The 20428-nt window shown below is 34.8% G+C and overlaps 1 protein-coding gene across 12 annotated transcripts in view, besides 3 other annotated features; it reads right to left on the bottom strand.

Moving 5' to 3' along the window:
* Positions 1-20428, bottom strand: part of EXOC6 (exocyst complex component 6) — a 232660-nt gene that overhangs the window by 147275 nt on the left and 64957 nt on the right. For 11 of the 12 annotated variants that reach the window (NM_001013848.4, NM_001319194.2, XM_017016344.3 and 8 more), the window contains 5 exons: positions 18696-18867; positions 17375-17422; positions 17196-17286; positions 12572-12617; positions 2585-2789 (listed from right to left, as the gene is read on the bottom strand). In NM_001013848.4, coding sequence (NP_001013870.1) covers positions 2585-2789; positions 12572-12617; positions 17196-17286; positions 17375-17422; positions 18696-18867 — 562 coding nt within the window. Of the gene's footprint in view, positions 1-2584; positions 2790-12571; positions 12618-17195; positions 17287-17374; positions 17423-18695; positions 18887-20428 lie in introns of all 12 variants that reach the window. The other variant, XM_024448047.2, reaches the window with a different exon arrangement.
* Positions 4014-4174: a silencer, noted in NCBI's record as "fragment chr10:94667799-94667959 (GRCh37/hg19 assembly coordinates)". NCBI's record gives its function as "represses an EF-1alpha promoter that drives an FKBP-Casp9 reporter gene in an ReSE screen in K562 erythroleukemia cells {active_cell/tissue: K562}" and the evidence as "EXISTENCE:reporter gene assay evidence [ECO:0000049][PMID:32094911]".
* Positions 17357-17992: an enhancer, noted in NCBI's record as "NANOG hESC enhancer chr10:94653981-94654616 (GRCh37/hg19 assembly coordinates)". NCBI's record gives its function as "activates a minimal SCP1, AML or CMV promoter by ChIP-STARR-seq in primed H9 embryonic stem cells {active_cell/tissue: H9 hESC(primed)}" and the evidence as "EXISTENCE:reporter gene assay evidence [ECO:0000049][PMID:30033119]".
* Positions 19325-19824: an enhancer, noted in NCBI's record as "NANOG-H3K27ac hESC enhancer chr10:94652149-94652648 (GRCh37/hg19 assembly coordinates)". NCBI's record gives its function as "activates a minimal SCP1, AML or CMV promoter by ChIP-STARR-seq in naive H9 embryonic stem cells {active_cell/tissue: H9 hESC(naive)}" and the evidence as "EXISTENCE:reporter gene assay evidence [ECO:0000049][PMID:30033119]".

Below are 20428 nucleotides of genomic sequence, written 5' to 3'. Positions count from 1 at the left end.
CTGGGTTTGGGGTAGCTTTAAGATATTTAAATTAATACATAACAAGTCCATCCATCCGTAAAAGGGATACGAGATCACGGAATTAAGCACAGGATACAGAGTGCACCCAAAGGCGGGGGCTGCTTTACAAGGTATAAGCTTTACACTCATGCCACCTAGAAGATTCCAGAACTAAACTGTGACTCTGCCAAACTGAGCACAGCTGATGAGAGACTTCAGGAGGCTTCTTATACATACACAAACACACACACACACACACACACACACACACACACACGCACACAGAGAGAGAGAGAGAGAGAGAGAGAGAGAGAAACCCACAAGAAATTGAAAGGTAGCATGAAGGGATACCAAGACAGAAAAAATACAACTTTTCTTATCAAATCTTGAGAAGTCTAACTCTCACTATAAGGAAAACTCTCTAACTTCTCAACTCTGTGGAAGTTATTTCCAAAAGAAGAAATTGTAAAGAAAAACATCCCCACAGAGAGATGCTAAGAAAAGGTTTCTGTATGAAATGTCTGTTTAAATTGCAATGATAGGGAGCTTGATAACTTTTATGAGGAAAAAATGATAGTGGACCAAGAGAGTCTATTCTCTCCCAGAAATAAATTTTTGTAAATCTTAAATCCTAGGGCCCATGATTTGATGGACTCCCTAAGTGGAAAGAATCCAAAACTGGTCTATGAAAAACAAGTCAAAGAAGATAAGTTTAATATCGACACTTGTGATTAAAATGTATAATGGAATATGAACTTTAAACTACTGTTGGCATTCTCATACTGAAAAAATTTACCAAGCGCTTGTGTTTTTAACTCCCATGGCATGCACAGATTTCCTTGGCCAGAGGTAGGAGAAATAGTATTGAAAACACTGTAATATTGAAGGGAAGAATACAATGGTGAGGAGCTCTATAATGGGGAAGACCCTCACTGACCAGAGACAACCAGTAAGAAAGACTTAGGAGTTTCCAAAGTAGTTTGTAATACTTGGGGGAAAAAAAAATCACGCATTAGAAATCATGTAAGAGTGTGCAATGCAAAGACAAAAAGAAGAAATAGTGTTGAGCATTGTTTTATTTCTATGACATTGTTTCATTTCTATGACATTGCAAGAACAGCTCTTAGAAAATTTAATTATTTTTTAACTTTTTATTAAAAATTTCAAAATAAACAGATTAATATCATGAACTCCCATCATTTATCTTCCACTAATATTTTTACATTCTTGTTCCATCTATACCTTTATCCACTCACTCCATATATACCCCAAATTATTATTATTATTGAGACAGAGTCTCGCTCTGTCACCCAGGCTGGAGTGCAGTGGCGCGATCTTGGCTCGCTACAAGCTCCGCTTCCTGGGTTCACGCCATTCTCCTGCCTCAGCCTTCTGAGTAGCTGGGACTACAGGTGCCCGCCACCATGCCTGGCTAATTTTTTGTATTTTTAGTAGAGATGGGGTTTCACCGTGTTAGCCAGGATGGTCTTGGTCTCCTGACCTCGTGATCTGCCCGCCTTGCCTCCCAAAGTGCTGGGATTACAGGTGTGAGCCACCCCGCCCGGCCCCAAATTATTTTGTACAGTTTTCTATTTATAGTTTATTTTTTTTATAGTTTTTTTAAGTAAGATGTATATACATTGAAATGTATAGCTAAGATCTGTACAAGTTTGACAAATACATTTTTATCATGGTATAAAACATTTCCATCTCCCCAGAAAGTCCCCTTGTGTCCTTTCCTAGGCAATTTCCCCACCCAGAGGTAACCACTGTTCTGATTTTTTCCATCTTAGTCTACCTGCTTTCGAATGACGTAAAAATGGAATCACACAGTTTGTGCCTTTTTGTATTCAATTTCTGTGGCTCAACACATCTGTGAGATTCATACATGTTGTTGCATTAGCAGTAATTCATTCCTTTTTATTGCTAGGTAGTATTCCATTGTATGAATATACCACCATTTGTGTATCCATTCTCCTTCTGAAAGCCATTTGGGTTGTTTCCAGTTTGGGGCTAACTGTGAACAAAGATGCTATGACTATCGTGAGCCCATGTTTTTTTGTTTCTCACTGATAAACACCTAGGAGTGGAACTGCTGACTCAAAAGGTAGATATATTGACTTCCTAACTGCTGAGGCTTTTCCCATTGTTTGTCCGTTTATTATTGAACTGTAGTAGTTTTTAATTCACAGTTAATACTTTTAATTTGTTTTAAATAGAGAACAGTTTAGAATCTTAGCATAAAAAGGCTCCCACTTGCCTCTGGGGCTGCCACTGTTTAGCTAATTCTATACCAGATTTGGCTGGTGGTAAAGGATAACATAACACCACATATATGGAGAAGAATGCTGAGAGTTCGGGCAGTAACTAAAGAATTCATGTTAGACTGATTTTACTTAAAAAAGGAATAAATGTGAAGCCAAAGAAAACACTGATAGAATCCTTTCTAAACAATAACCAGAAAAGATAAGAAAAAGGTAAAACAAAAATAAGCATTTTATGTAAGTTAAAGAAGTAAACCTTGGATATTTTCCAGATCCTGTATTACTAAATAATATTAAATCAAAATTATTTTTAATCTCACCTGTTTCATTGCTGTTTCACCTATTTTGTCAGAATGTTTTCGAATACTTTCCAAAAAGTCTTTGAGATCAGACATGGAGATTTCTTTAATATCCTCACGGAGTTTGGGAAGATTTTCTATCATGAGCTGACAAAACCGGTATTGACTAACCCAGGGAAAGTACACATTCTCTAATTGTTCCATAGTTTTTAGGGCAGAATAGTACCTGTGAGAAGTTAAAAAAGAAAACTCTATAAAAAGTTCTTATCACAATATTTTTACAAGTAAATCTAAATAATCAGTTTTACACTGATTATTCATCAAAAAGGACCTAGTCCTAGTTAAAATAAGTAAAATTAATATTTACATCTATTTGTCAAGGACAAACTATAAACCACATAAACAAGCCACAGGCTCAAAGTTGATGGCATACATTAATGTAAAACTTCTTTTTTCACTTCATCTGAATCTATAACATCAAAAGCATTATGATAGCATCTTAATACCTTAAATGAATATGTATCATTGTTTCAAACTTGTGAATTATAACATCTAGTGATTTGTTATATGATTTTGTATTCTGTCTCCTATCATAATATCCATCCACACAGTATCACCACACAAAAATTACATAACATGAATATAATTCTAATTAAAATAAAATTTATTTAACTTTTTAAAAAATGTCATACTAATATTTAAGGCAATTAGAAATACTGTTAAGTATCACACACACACACACAAAAAACAGGTAAAAATCCACACTGGTAGAGTGCTTTTTCAATTCAACAAATATTTACTGAATGTAATATTTCCTCTTTTGGGCTTTGGGGGCTACTGTTTCACAGTGTGACATGCTGGGTATGCAGCAATTAGTAAAGTGTAGCCTTTGCCCTAGATAAATTGACATATATTTTCATATACATAATTTAGTTCTCTTTAGACTTCTATGAGGTACACTTCTATGGCAGATATTACAAGTAGCATTCTATAGATGAGAACACTAAAATACAGAAAAAGAGTATATAATTTAGCCAAGAAACCATATTAATTCGTAGCTGGACTGAGACCTTACCAAACTATCAGTTTCCTACAATAATACTCAGCACCAAAAATCTATTTGAGAGTTAGGTAGAGGAACTTTAAAAATTAATTACATAGTATTCCATATCTTTCTATTGAATTGGATGACATTAAAAGCAGGAAAAGGCATTAACTAATGTACAAAAAAGGCAAAACAAAGTAAGTTGATAGAAACTATGAGACATAAGTGAAAACAAAAGCAAGTTGAAAAGACCCACCAGGTGTGGTGGCTCACACCTGTAATCCCAGCACTTTGGGAGGCTAAGGTGGGCGGGTCACCTGAGATCAAGAATTCGAGACCAGCCTGGCCAATGTGGTGAAACTCTGTCCCTACTAAAAATATAAAAATTAGTCGGGCGTGGTAGTGCACACCTGTAATCCCAGCTACTCAGGAGGCTGAGGCACAAGGATCATTTGAATCTGGGAGGTGGCAGTTGCAGTGAGATCGTGCAACTGCATTCCAGCGTGGGTGACAGAGTAAGAAACTTTCTCAAAAAAAAAAAAAAAAAAAAGACATTATATTCAAAAGCTGTTTTAAAATACCAATTAGTTTTCTGGCATATACTCTCAAAGATAAGAGTATATTCTGCAAATTGTGACAAAATATTACAACTAACTTAAAAATTAGACCATCTAAATTTTATCTTGGTAAACATCAGAATGCTTATAATGTAAACAAAATGTACATTTGGTCAGAAACTAAAATATTTAGGTGGTGGTATGGGTAGGAGAGATGTCATTACAATAATTTTGATAATACCTGAGATATTAAAGGCTTGATGAAGTGAAATAATGAATTATGTATTTTCAGTGTAATGCATAACATTTTAAATGCAACAGATCAATTAACAGTCAAACCACACTATCTGATCCTTGACTAATTTCCTGATTTGATATGAACTAGGTATATTTCAAAAGTATTCTCTCTACAACAGGTATGGTTTCTGAAAATTCATGCTAATGTCTACAATGTATTTGAAATCCTAAGTGATGCAGAATAAATGAAAAGTATTACCAGTAGCTTTTGCAACATACCACAGACACAGTCAACTTACTTCATAGCACAACTGTGCCTCCCTTCATGCCGCTCATCTCTCACCTCCCATCTTGGCGCTCCCATGAGACATCATCAGAGGCAAGAGAGGTCATAAGACTTACCTAGCGCCCATATACGCACAACCCAGAAATGTAGAGAGTTAAGGTCAGGGGGTTGAACTCTTAACCAATAAGAAGAGCAAGTCAGAGATAAGTTCTCCTTTCCTCTTCCTGGAGGGAAGGTTATGATTTGCAATAACATATACAACCTCCCTAAAGGTATTTAAATAACTCAATAACTCACCCTCATATTTGCTCTCTCAACTTTCCTGTCTCATTTCCCTTTCCCTAAAACTAGGATTCAGAGAACTTCCCTAGGATTATACTCCCTAAAAAAGTAGTAAAATACATGATTTTTACCTCAGACTCTGCTTTCTGGGAAAATTCAGGTGAAGATATATAGAAAGTTTATCATTTTAGGCAGAGAGCAGAAGTCAGAGACCAGACCCTGGATCCTTTCTAAAATTTAGCCACAAATCTCCTATGTTTTATCTGTTTCTAAATGCAAGCAAAAACAGCACCACAATAGATTACCATTTCTCCTTTAGATACACATAATGTTGTTTTTACAAAATTGTAACAGTAATCCATAACCACTAGAAAAATACAAAACCTATAAGGGGAATATAAAAAGCACCTATGATCTGATGCTATCATGTTGTAATTAACTCATCAGCATTTGGCCACATTTCCATCCAGTCATATATCTACACTTCCACTTCTGTAAGCTCATACTCTATTCAACAATATATAATGGAATTTACCTTATAAATTATTTTAAAACAAATTATTATCCTATATGTAAAGTCTTTTATTATAAGGTAATGATGTCCTTATAGTTGGAATGTTAAGTCTCTGATTTTTAAAAATAAACAAAGTAGAGCAAATTTCCCTATATGTTAAACCTCTGACAAGGTGTCTGTTTTTATAAATACAAGATACTTCTAAAAATGTACATGTCATCACTAAATGGAGAACATGTGAGTACTCTAATGATTCTCTGGCCTACAAAGTACAAATTATGCCACTGTTCTTACTTCATTTGCCTTCCCTTGGGTATTTCCATTTCACCAGAGTTTGTCCTACCATAGAATTGGTTACTTCAGTCTCTTCTATTCTTTTTAAATATAACGTCCTGCATACAAAAAAATTTACAAGATACATGAAAAAGTACGAAATTTTTATTAAATTCTAAGTGGAAAAAATAAGACACAACTATGTGATGTCTGAATCACTTCCAATGTACAGACATAAAGAGATAAAAAATAAAGGGATAGAGAAAGATATACCATATTGACACTAATCGAAAGAAAGGTAGATCAGCTATATTAATTTCAGATTAAACAGATTTCAGAGCAAGGAAAATTATTAGGGATAACGAACATTACATAATGATAAAATGGTCAATTCTCCAAGAAGACACAGCAATCCTTACTGTGCATGTAACTAACAACAGAGCATCAAAATATGTGAAGCAAAAACTAACAGAACTGTAAAGGAAAATAAATAAATACACTATTACAAGTGCAGACCTCAGCAAGCCTCTAACAATAATTGACAGGTTCAGCAGGCAGAAATTCAATAAGGACATAGCTGAACTGAACAGTACCATCAATCAACTGGATCTAATTGGCATTGACAGAATACTTCATCCAACAACTACAAAATACATATTTTTCTCAAGCTCACATGGAACATCAAGACAGATCACATTCTGGGCCACAAAACATGCCTTAACGAATTTAAAGGAACAGAAATTATACAAAGCTAATACCATACTTAATGGTGAGAAACAAGATGCTTTTCCCCCATGAGATTAAGAACAAGGCAAAGAAGCTCCCTCTCACCATTCCTAGTCAACATCATACTACATGGAAGCAGTAGCTAATGAAATAAAACAAGAAAAAAAGGTATTAAGACTGGGAAAAAAGAAACAGAAGTCTTTGCAGGTAACATGAAATGTATCTATATAAAAACCTTCAACAAAAAATTTTCTGGAACTAATACCAACTCTGATAGAAATAATTAAAGAAAATCTATATAAATGGAAAGATATTCCATATTAATGAATACGAAGACTCAATATCATCAACTGATGATATCAGTTCTCCCCAACTTGATCTACAGATTCAATGCAATCCCAATCAAAACCCCAGCAACTTATTTTGTGAATATCAACAATGTGATTCTGAAGTTCATATAGACAGGCAAAAGACCCAGAATAGCCACACAATATTGAAGAACAAAGTTGAAGGATAGACTGACACTACCCAACTTCAAGACTTAATACTGTATAAAGTTATAATATTAAAGACTGTATGGTAAAGGTGAAAAGATTAACAAGTAGGTTAAAATGAAACAGAAAGCACAGAAATACACAAATACAGTTAACTGAGGAAATTCAATGGAAAAAGAGTCGTTCTTTAAATAAATGCTGCTGGAACAACTGGACATTCACATGCAAAAAAGTGAATAAATAAATGTAAACAGTGACCTTCACTTTTTATAAAAATTAATTCAAAATAGATCATAGACCTAAATGTAAAACACAAAACTCTAAGACTCTAGAAGATAACACAAGGGAAAATTTAGATGACCTTGGGTTTGGCAATTAGTTTTTAGAAACACCAAAGCACAATGCATGAGGGAAAGAAAAAAAGGTAAACTGGACTTTTCCAATTTAATTTCATTAAAACTAAAACTTCCTACTCTTTAAAAACACTGTTAAGAAAATGAAAAAACAAGCCACAGACTGGGAGAAAATATGTTCGAAACACAAATTGAATCAAGGACTTGAATCCAAAATATAAAAAGCACACTTAAAACTCAACAATCCAAAAATAAGCCACCAAATTAAAAAGTGATCAAAAGACTTGGACACCTCGCTAAAGAAGACATACATGTGAGAAGATGCTCAACATCATGTGTCATTAGTGAATTACAAATTAAAATAACAATGAGATATCATTACACACCTATTAGAATAGGCAAAATCCGAAAAAATGACAACACTAAATCCTGTGGAGGATGTGGAGCAACAGTAACTCTCATTCATTCTGGAGGGAGTGCAAAATAGTACAGCCACTTCTGAAGACAGTTTGGCAGATTCTTACAAAACTAAACATAGTCTTACCATATGATCCAGCAATCACATCCCCAGGTATTTACCCACATTAATTGAAAATTTACATGCATAAAACCTGCACACAAATGTTTATGGCAGCTTTATTCACAATTGCCAAAACTTGGAAGCAACAAGATGTCCTTCAAAGGTGAATGGATAAACTATGGTTCATCCATACAGTGTAGTATTATTCAGTGATAAAAAAGAAATAAGTTATCAAGTCACAAAAGGACACAGAGGAACCTTAAATGCATATTGCCAAGCGAAATAAGCCAGTCTGAACATATTATATATATACTGTATTATTTCAACTATCTGACATTCTGGAAAAGATAAAACTATAGAAACAGTACAAAGTTCAGTAATTGGTACGGGTTCACAGCAGGGAAGGATGGGGAAAGATAGGGAGCACAGGAAAGTTTTCAGGCAGTGAAACTATTCTGTATGATACTGTAATGGATACATGATATATGTTTGCCAAAATCCACAGAACTGTACAACACAGAGTGAACTCTACTGTAAAACTATGGACTCTGGTAAATACTTATGTGTCAATATTGGTTCATCAGTTAAAGTAAATGTACCATATTAATGCAAGACATTAATAACAGAAAAACTGCTTAGAAAGAAGAGGAAAAGTATATGGGAACTCTGTACTTTGTGTTTAATATTTCTGTAAACCTAAAACTGCTCTAAAAAATAAAATCTATTAAATAAAAAAAAAGCAAAAGATGTGAACAGACACTTCACAAAAGAAAACATACAAACAGCCAAATACCAAACAAAAAGGCACTTATGACACTTAGAGATCTCTAGATAAGCCAATTCCAAAGGTTTTCTTGCCACTGAAATTCAACATTCCCAAACCTTTATCATCTAGATGCCCTGGATTGTGTCTAATCTAAATCCTTTCTTTCTACAGTCTAAACCCATGATTTTTCTACCTCTGATTTCACTGATGGTAAAAAAAAAAAAAATTTGTTTATTCTGATCTATAAACAATCAGTCATCAGGAAAATGCAAATTGAAACAATGAGATACTATTTTATACTTACCAAAATGGCTCAACTAGAACAAACTAATTAAACACCATACGTTTGCAAGGATGTGGAGCAAATGAAATTCTTATATTAATACATTGCTAATGGAAGCGTAAATGGTACTACTAAAATAATTATTTTTTAAATTATATTTTTAAAGTCTATTTTTCAAATCATATTTTAAATAGAAAAGTATTTAACGGTTTCTTAAAAAGTGTAGCATTCATTTATGTTATCACTGAGCAATTCTACTCCTATATATTTACTAAATGGAAATATAAACATATCCCTATAAAAAAGACTTGTACCTTAATTTCATGGCAGTCTTATTCATAATACCTGCAAACCTGAAACCACCCAAATAGCAACTAATGGATAGATAAACAAATTCTAGCAATAAAAAGAAATTATGCAACCACAGACGAATTTTAAAAACATTATCGGGAGTGAAGAAGATTCCATTTATATCAATTCTAAAAACACACAAAACTAACCTATGATGTTAAAAATCAGAAAGTGGTTATTTCTAGAGAAGGGAGGAGAAATTGGAAGGAGGTATGAGCAAACTGTGGGGGTAATGGAAGTATTCTTCATCTTGTTTTGGTGGCAGTGACTGTGAGGAAGTATAAGAAAGCTTCTGGGTAGCAATAACATTCAACATCTTAAACTTGGTGGCTACACAGGTGTGTTTATTTTAGTATAACATAAACAAAAATGTACAAGTCATAAGTCTACAACTCCAAGAATCTCTAAAAAGCAAACACAAGAGGCTACCTGAAAAAAAAATTTGGAGATCAAAAAAGAGCTCCTAGAAATTAAAAATTAGCAGAAATTTTTAAAAATCAGCACCACCTTTGGAAGGTAAAGATGAAATAATCTCATAGAAAAAAGAGCAAGCAGACAAAGAGATTTTAAAATGTCAAAGAAGAGATAAGAAAATTAGAGAACCAATCTAGAAGACTGAACTATTAATATCCTAGAGAAATAAGAAAACAGAAAGAAAAAAATAATTCAAAAAAACTTCCTAATGCTTAAGGATATTATGAGATTAAAGGATAATTTCCAGATTAAAAGAAGGCTCACTAAGTACCCACCACAAAAAGTACCCACCACATCAAAGGACATCATCAGGAAATGATAGACCACAGAGGACAAAGAGAATGTTCTAAAAGAGAGAAAAGGTAGGTCACAAACTAACAACTTCAAACTGTGTGTGTGTGTGTGTGTGTATGTGTGTGTGTGTAATAAGTCCACCTAGCACATACATCTTAGTTCCTTGTTTTTGTTTTTGTTTTTCTTTGAGACAGGGTTTTGCTGTCACCCAGGCTGGGGTGCAGTGGCTCAATCTCAGCTCACTGCAACTGCCTCCCTGTCTCAAGAGATCCTCCTGCCTCAGCACCCACCCCCCACCAACCCCCCAGTAGCTAGGACTACAGGCACGCGCCACCACGCTCAGCTATTTTTTTTTTTTTTTCAGTAGAGATGGGGTTTTACCATACGGGCCAGGCTGGTCTCAAACTCTTGAGCTTAAGCGATCCACCTGCCTTAGCCTCCCAAAGTGCTGAGATTACAGGTGTGAGCCACTGCTCCCAACCCATACATCTTAGTTTCTAAATACCATTAATACTAAAAGGAGCTAGGGTACCCTGGAGAATGGCTGCTTCCAGATCTGAGGCAAAAAAAAAAAAAAAAGGCACAATGAGAGCTTGGAACATCTTACGATACAATAAACACAAAAATACTCAAAGACAAAGACACAGGAATTGGCTTGAGAAGTTTCTCTTGTTAAATTTGAAACAATTTGTGCATCAAAATGAATAATGACAATAATAAATTATAATATATTTATTTTAAAAATGCGTAAGTTCACAGCCATAATCGGAAAAAAAGAAAAAAGGTGGTGGTGGGGAATAAAAAGCTCTTCTTTATATATAAAACAGCCAGTTAATAAATGTTTAAGAAATAATAGAATTTTTTAAATCAACATCTTGTAAATCCAATATAATAACGGATTAAGGCAAGAATGATAAAACTACTGGGTGAAAACCTGTTAGGAAACAGGACCCACATATTACTTATTAATTGCAAAGAGAAAAATATACCTTTTCAAAAGACATCTGGTAGACTTCCCCTTAACCAAATGATCAAATTTAGCATAACCTAAGGACAACATGACTTTATAAGCCTCCTGATGTCATGCAATGTGAGGTATCACTTATGCTATACTCTTGCCAAAACCTTTTAACTTGAATCTAAACATGAAGAAACAACTAGATAAATCCAAAATGCCCTGGTCTACAAGAGAACTGACCTGCACTCTTCCATGAAAAAAACAAAGAACAGGAGGACTGTTCTAGATTAAAAGGGACAAAAGAACACATACAAATCAATGTTTTCAGGGAGGGAAAAAGACGTAAGACATTTTGGGGATAGTTGAGAAAATGTGAGTATAAATATTAGATTATATTACTGAAAAACCGATAATGCCCCAAACTGGAAAATAATATGGTAATAATTAAAAGTTAGTTATTTAAAGACATAAATATAAATACCAAAATAATCCATTAAAAGAGGTAAAAGTTTTTGCTCCTATAAAGAAGGAATGGTGAATGGGAAATAGGAAAGGTGATATCTGTTTTTTTTTTTTTTGGCAGCAAACGCGTAGGAAAATTATTTGAATCTTTAAAATGTGAGGATATATAACATTGATTTAAAAAGAGAATATATTATTAATACATACGTGAAAGAAAATAAGACTTTCAGAATAGTTTTTGGCTTGTTTATTACAGGGAAAAAATCATTCTACTAAATTGTATTAACTGGTAAAGCCTAATGAAATTCAACATGTAGCACAATGAAGCAGGACATACACACATCTTTTACTATAGGTCTGTATAAGATGTGTTCTGATAATTAAGTAGTTACTAACCAAGAAGAAATCATTTTTTCCCTAGTCCAAATTGTCTAATTTATTCTGGTTTTTCTATGTTACTTTTGAATCATTTGTTTTTTTTCTTTTGTTTTTTGGGGGGAAGGGGGTGGGGAGGTGAAATGAGGTCTCCCTATATTGCCCACGCTGGTCTCAAACTCCTGGGTTCAAGTGATCCCCTTGCCTCAGACTCCCAAAGTGCCGGGATTACAAGCATGAGCCATGACACCTGGCCAAAACTGTTCGTCTTTAAAATATTTTAAACATCACTATATCCAATGCTCCTATGGCAATCAATAAACTACTTTAAATTACTTTCTTTTTCAACTGTCATATATGCATTTGAGTTATAAAACAGAATGTGAACTACTACATTCACCCAGACTGTCAAAATATAACTGCCTACACTCTTTTCCTTCCACAATATGCACTTAGCCCTTAGTTACATGCAATATTAGTATGTTGGTAAGCTAATCAATATTTTCATTCCTGTTCGGCTATTTGTACTTGATCAACATTACCAATCCTTGATATCATTTATAAAGGACAATGATTTATTAATAAAAGGCTAAGATTTGCTTTAGTGGATTATCCTGATGCGCAAATTTTAAGTACAAAGGTTAGTGTAATGAAGAAAGCAAAACTCATGATTCACTATGATTTATAGTAAATGTATCTGTCCTTTCAATAATAGAAAAAAATTCTTATTTAAAACAATAGGAAAAAAACCAACTCACCTTTTGGCACTCATCTGTTCTTTCAGCTTACTGTACATTTCTAGCACTGCATTAAAAAATATAACATTTTAGCTTTCAAAATGAAAAGAAAATATTTTGAGACATGAAAATAATCAAAGCAGGAAAGAGTATATTACAAATTCATTAGACTTCTACAACTTGAGTTAGGCTAATATTTTCAAATAAAATGTTAAATACTTCAAGTATATGAAAACATGTTTATTTCCTTATATACTGAACATTTTATTATATACACACACACACATATATACATATAAATGTATTATACTGAACCTGGAACACTTGTATATGCTAACCACGTATAACTGAGACATTAGCCTACTAACAATTATCCTATCCAGAAACTACTAATATTTCTTCCCTGAAATAGAACTGGAACTTTAGACTTTAGTTATTTGAGAGAGAAAGTTGAGTGTGAGATTCACTGATTTTTGACTCAACATACCAAATAAAATAACACACTTGTGTTAAACTCACTATAAACAAAAGTTTATACCAAATCCACAAAGAAAGAAAAACGTCAAAAGCTTACAGCAGGAGTGAATTATAATACAGCCAGAAATAAACATAACAAAGCATCTTTATTCATTTCATCCTTTCTATCAAATGCAATTGTTTGATAGAAAGGAATGCAATTATTCAATAAATTATTCTTTGCCAAGATAATATAGTGTCACTAAAAAGGTTTTAAACCTTTTTACCCTTTAAACTTAGAATTTCAAAGTACAGAATGAGTACACACTTTGCTTTCCCTCTACAATATGGACAGACAACATTTTTTTCCAGATTTTTCTACAGTCATATGACTCCTCCTAGGGGTCTCCAAGTTTACAAAAAACATCGTTTATGTGTCTGAAAACCATAAAAACTGCAGTGGTAGCTGTAGTGAATCAACCCTGACTCTGTCGCTTCACAGGACCCTATGTATATCTCTCTATCATAGCCTCTATATTGTAATGTAATTTTTTTCACATTTTCCAACCAAAGCATTAGAGGGAACACATAAACTGGGAGAGAGCCTGCTGCAATAAGTATAAACTTTCTTTGAAGTCTCCAAGCTTAACAATTCATGTAAATTTCATATCTACCTCATGCTATTTCCATATAAAAATAATGCTTTCCTCAAAAACAGTAAAAACTAATACACCAGGAAAATAAATGCATTGTTTATGCCGTGATTTTTTTTTTTTTTTTGAGACAAGGTCTCACTCTGTCACCCAGGTTACAGGGCAGTGGCACGATCATGGCCTACTGCAGCCTCAACCTCTTGGGCTCAAGTAATTCTCTCACCTCAGCCTCCCCAGTAGTTAGAACCACAGGTACGCCACCACAGCTGGCTAATTTTTTTTTTTTTAATTTTAATTTTCTGTAGAGACAGGGACTCCCTATGTTGCCCAGGCTGTTCTCAAACTCCTGGCCTCAAATGATCCTCCCACCTCAGCCTCCTAAAGTGCTGGGATTACAGTCATGAGTCACCATGCCCAAGCTATGACTTCTCACATCCTTTCATACTCCTCCTAATCCACGGAGGAGTTAGGCAACTGCACTGCAACTGATGACTTACGTGTCTTTATTCCCATAAGATCTGTGAACTCCAAGTATCTGAGACAGGTCTCAGTCAATGTAGAAAGTTATTTTGCCAAGATTAAGGGCATGCCCATGACACAGTCTCAGAAGTCCTGAAAACATGTGCCCAAGTCGTCAGGCGTACAGTTTGCTTTTATACATTTTAGAGAGACATGAGACATCAATCAATACGTGTAAGATGTATATTGGTTCAGTCTGGTAAGGCAGGACAACTCAGAAGTGGGGGCTCCCAGATTAGAAGAAGGTAAGAGACAAAAGGTTGCATTCTTTTGAGTCCTTGATCAGCCTTCCACTGAATATACAATTTAGTCTGGCCCAGTGAATCTGCATTTTTATACAAATAAAAGGGCAGAGGAAGCAATCAGATATGGATTTGTCTCAGGTGAGCCTCAGAGGGATGACTTTGTGTTCTGTCTGTCCTTTGTCCATAAGGAATTTCCAGTGGGCAAATTGTGAGGGAGTATGTAGCTTCTTATCTTTGTACCTATCTTATTCAGGAGGAAAATAGGAGGCAGGTTTGCCTGACACAGTTCCCAGCTTGACTTTTTTCTTGGCTTAGTGATTTTGGGGTCCCAAGATTTATTTTCCTTTCACAGATTGTAGGATCCTTCAAAAGCTGAGATTGTGTCATTTCCAACTTTATAGTTCCAATACCTACCATGATGCCTCACACACACATTTATAAGTGGATAGTAGGACAGAAAGATGAATAGAGGAAAGCAGGTAGTTCTGGAGGTGGCCATTAGGAACACAATACTTATATGAACTAAGAGTTGCGGCCTAGCCTTAAAAACGAAGACAGTAGCAGTAACAAACGGCTGACCTCTACTTCCCTTTATTTCTCTATTTTACATAGCCCAGTAGGGGAATAAGCTGAATTTGGCTCTTGCTCATTCCATCAGTACCCAATTTTTAAGGTTTATTATCAGACAGGGACAAAACATTCAAACTTAGAGGACATCTTCATGGCTATTACAATGCACCTGACGGTGGCAAAGAGGTATTATTAAACATGACTATAAGGAAATAGGTTTCTCAACCCTGAAACTTAACATAATAAGCCAACATTTTATTTACTCAAAGTTTTTACGTAAATATACCTGGTCCATCAGAGATTAAGCTGAGTAGAATTTCATTGATTCTAAAAAAAAAGAAAAGCTATTCTCACAAGTCAAAAAACAGGCCAGGCGCAGTGGCTTACACCTGTAATCCCAGCACTTTAGGAAGCTGGGGTGGATGGATCACTTGAGGCCAGGAGCTTGAGACCAGCCTGCCCAACATGGTGAAACCCCACCTCTACCAAAAATACTGAAATTAGCCGGGCATGGTGGCGCATGCTTGTAATCCCAGCTACTTGGGAGGCTGAGGTTGCAGTGAACCAAGATTCAGCCACTGCACTCCAGCCTGGCCAACAGAGTGAGACTCTGTCTCAAATAATAATAATAATAATACTACAATTTTTTTAGCCAATAAAATCTGCTAACAGTTTTAACAATATAATTTGTAGTCTAAGCTAAATTTACATCATAAAAATAGCATATAGCGGGTGCAGTGGCTCACACCTGTAATCCTAGCACTTTGGGAGGCCGAGGCAGGCAGATCATTTGAGGCCAGAAGTTTGAAACCAGCCTGGCCAAAATAGTGAAACCCCACCTCTACTGTAAATACAAAAATTAGGCAGGCATGGTGGTGGCACCTATAATCCCAGCTACTCAGGAGGCTGAGGCAGGAGAATGACTTGAGCCCAGAAGGTGGAGGTTGTAATGAGCAGAGATCATACCACTGCACTCCAGCCTGGGAGATAGAGTGAGACTCCGCCAAAAAAAAAAAAAAAAAAAAAAAAAAAAAAAAAAAATATATATATATATATATATATATATATATATATACACATACATACACACACACACACACACATATATATACACATATATATACACACATATATATATACACATATATATACACATATATATACACATATATATACACATATATATACACACATATATATACACATATATACACATATATATATAATATAAAACATCTCATCATCTCATTCTATTCTGCTGAATATGGAGGTTTAGGCTCCTTCCTAAAAAAAAAATAATAAGTTTAAAAATGGGACAAAAGATGGATTCAGCTTACTATATTTAAAAAAAAAAAAAAAAAAAGGCCGGGTGTGGTGGCTCATGCCTGTAATCCCAACACTACACTAAGACAAGGGGATTGCTTGAACCTAGGAGTTCAAGGCTGCAGTGAGCTATGATCATGCCACTGCACTCTAGCTTGGGCAACAGAGTGAGACTTTATCCCTAAAAAAATTAAAAATTAAAATAAATAAAAAGAAAAAAAGTCATATACCTGCTTCCTTTTGTTTGAACAGAATGCATCCAACTTAAAGTATATTAAATCCAGGTAAAGAAAATACTAGTTAATTTCCTCGGAATTTATCTGATGCCCAAGTAATATTTAGCCCTAACAAAGAGACCAGAAACAGCGTTTCCAAAATACAGGAGGAAAGGCAAGAATGGTGAAGATCCAGCTCTTTTGATGTTTTTCTTACCTTATCAGCACAATGAGATTGTGAGCAAAGCAAAAACAACCTGCTAAGTGACAAACAAAAAACAATGGAAAACTAGAGGTAAAAAATCAGGCAAATTAGGTAAAGGTGAGAAAATGTAACCAAAAGACTCTCCCCATGGGAAAGTATTCCGAGGAAAAACAAAAAAGGGTTATGGGGGACAAAAGGCAAAAGAGGCCAAAAGGAAATGGAAATGTAGAAGTTGCTGTTCTAGGAAACTGATGTGACATATAATCAAACAAGAGCTTTCTAACATGACAAAAGCATGAATATTCAGGGAATAAAATGAACCTGAAAGATAAGCATGGTCTTTGTTGTGAGGCAATCACCAAATAATCTGTAATTCCCATACCAAAGAATCACTACTTGCTATTATTAAATTACAACTTTACCAAGCCAAACGTTTTATTATAGACAAGTTTAACTCACCAGGAAGGCATAACTGCAATTTTTCTACTACAGTTGTAATATTTCTCTGCTGAATTCTACATCGAATGATATCTTCTGTGTGGACTATCACCTTAGAAAAGAAGGAATGTTCATATTTTTAAACAAACAGTTAAAGAACAACTACATACTGAATACCCAGAAAAGTATCATTTTCTCACCTCTTTTCCAGCATCTTGAAACCTTCGGTTGGTATCAGTAACTTGCACCTTAAAAATTTAATTTCACCTTAGTTAGACAAATATGCATAAAACTGCCCTGATGTAACTGCTCACCCTTGTAATCAGATCATGCTTCATGAGAAACTTAGAACAAAGAAATGCAAATTCAAATTAACTCTACAGCTTGAACTTGAACTTTTGATTGAAAAGGGCTTTTGTTAACTTCAATTACTTATGACAGTTCTTTTTAACAGATTCTGTGGCAAACTTCTCAAATTTACTCAGGATTTTTGAACTTTACTTGCTTCTCTAAGTCTGTCAAACAATTCAAATCACTGACCCAATTGACCACTGGTCCCCTTTTGATAACTTCAATGAGGTCTATGTGCCATTCATTGTCTGTAGGAAATGGTGATTGCATTTTATGGTAATTAAACATTCATACTTTGCTGAATGCAAACACTGGGTGGTTGATTAACATCAAACACAGAAATTTCAATCCACAGCAACATTTTAATGCTGCAGGTGCAGGCAAAGCTCAACCTCAAATTTTCCCACATATTAAGTGACTCATTAGGTCATCATAGTAAGGAAGCACATTCTGGTTTATTAAAAATCTCATTAATTTCTGAACAAAGATGCTCAGTGACCTCATTGATGCTGTAGTTAGTCTCTTGTTATCTGAATATCCTTTATACAATGGTTTTCTAATCATAACCTTTGGTGAACCAGGGTCATTTTGTCTGCTAAGTGCTCTAAACGTAAAGAAAGATAAATAGGACAATTCTTATAATTAAATATTTTTTATCCTGACTGAACAAATCTAGGTCTCTTTTAATAAATAATGTTTTAGCTGTATGGCAGAAAGTGTAGACCAACTTTCTTTAAGAAAAATACACACTGCTGTTAAACTTTTCAAAAAGTTTTAACATTATTAAATAATGCTGAGAACATAACTATTTATCATAAGCTTTTAAAGGAATTTTAGAGGATAACATTTTATAAATATTGTACTAACTGTCATTTTAGAAATTCAAAAACTGCAAATAGGGCCTTTCATTGTATGCATGTTTTGAGTTCACTTCCCTGCATGGAAAGAAATCCTGTTAAGTCAGTGCATTACTTGCTTCAGAAAAAGAGAATACTCCTGTCATTAGCATGACAACTGTGTTAATAGAGCATAAAGAGCATTCCCTAATACATATACTAATTCACTTCTTGAAAGTAACATACTTAATAATGACTTGTACATATGTACTATCAACTAAGACTTGAGTAATTTAATGAGAACAAAGGCAAATAATTTTAACATATTTCTTACCTTCAGTTTTTCTGCATCAGTCCTTACTTTAAGGAGTTCTGTAATAGCATCTACAAAACCCTGATGATGAAAATTACACATCTTTTCAATTTCCTTGTCATGATTACGGATACAAGCATCTAACTTTTCCATAAACTTCTTGTGCGCATTTGGTTGGTCATCATACACAGACCTGAATGTATATAAGAAAGCTAAAATTAACCAAAATGTATTATTTAGTAAGCCTGATCTTTGCAAGAGGTGATATCTTAAAATTAAATCTCTGAACAAATAAACTGGTGATAATATTACCTTTAGCAGAAATAATTTGCGTGAAAGTATTTTATTTCTTCTTGAACATGATAATATTAAAAGAACCACACAAGCTCTAGATATAGCATGAGGTATCTGGAAATAAAGGTATGAGGCTCAGGAGATGTGGGCCTAATACAAGTCTTTAACATACTAACATTCAAAAACAAAGAATTACTGAGTGAATGAATGGTTAAAGAATGAATGAACAAACTCATGATTTTTACAGCATTTACTATGTAAAGTAAACGCTCATGTTCTAAATGCTTTATATATTAACTCTTTAATCCCCACAACAAGGCTACAAAGTAGGTATTGTTATTACCCTTGTTTTACAGAAGAGTTACAGATTACTGAACTGCCATAAATTCCACAACCAGCACAAGTGATAGCTGGGATATGACTCCTGATAGTCCGGCTCCAGGGTTCATATTCTCAGGTACAAGCCCATATTGCAGTCACCACAATGTTTCCTAAACATGGCATATTCATTCCTACTGTCTCTCAGCTCATGCTGTCTCCACAGAGAGCGTACCCCTCTATTCACCATGCAGTAAAGGACTACCCTTGCCACTGATTCCTGGGAGGAAAGCCTTTGGCATACCCTGCCTGGTAAGTGTCTTCTTTGTTTACCTGGAAGGCTTTGACTGCCAAATAGCAGATGCTAACAGTGTGACTCACGGTGAGGCCTGAGGCCACACAGTTTTAGCTGTGGAGGGGCAGGAGGTCAGCAATGTGGGCAGTCAGCCAAGTCTACATGGGTAGTCAGTCATGGCTATATGACCAAACTCCAATAAAATTCCTGGATATCAAAGCTTGGATGAGCTTCCCTGATTGACAATACTCCATGCGTGTTACCACACATCACTGCTGGGAGCAGTAAGTGCTGTCCACAATTCCACTGAGAAAGGACAACTGAAAGCTCACTCGTGGAACTCTCCTAGTCCCTGTCCTATGTGCCTTTTCTGCTGTTGATTTTAATCTGTGTAGTTTTTTGAAAGTTTTTGTTGTTGTTGTTTTTGCTGTAACAAACAGTAACTATGAGTGTAACAACTTTGCTGAATTTTGCAAGTCCCTCTAGCAAATTTTTGAACCTGAGAGTGGTCTTGGGAACTTTCCAAACCTCACCCCACATCCGTTGCCCATTGTTTGAGGTTCATTTCAAGTCCCATTTCTTCCAGCAGGCCTTTGCCAATCATTCCCATGCCAAGTAATCTTTTCATCTGCAGGACAGGTAAACTTACAACCCCTTACAGTTATTCTGACACGTAATCATATATTACTTTGTATTGTAATTTACATGTTTTGTATTTAAAATATATTTTGTTTCCCCAAATAGACCATAAACTTCTTGAGGGTAGCCTCTGTCTTAGGTTTTTAATGAATACACTCTCTAATACAAGAGGTAACAATATAGGATACCAATTATTAAGAATTTAGAC

Source organism: Homo sapiens, chromosome 10, assembly GCF_000001405.40.
Source record: "Homo sapiens chromosome 10, GRCh38.p14 Primary Assembly".
Lineage (NCBI taxonomy): Eukaryota > Metazoa > Chordata > Mammalia > Primates > Hominidae > Homo > Homo sapiens.
The sequence above is the reverse complement of the archived record's forward strand: the minus strand, read 5'-3'. Positions and strand labels throughout refer to the sequence as shown.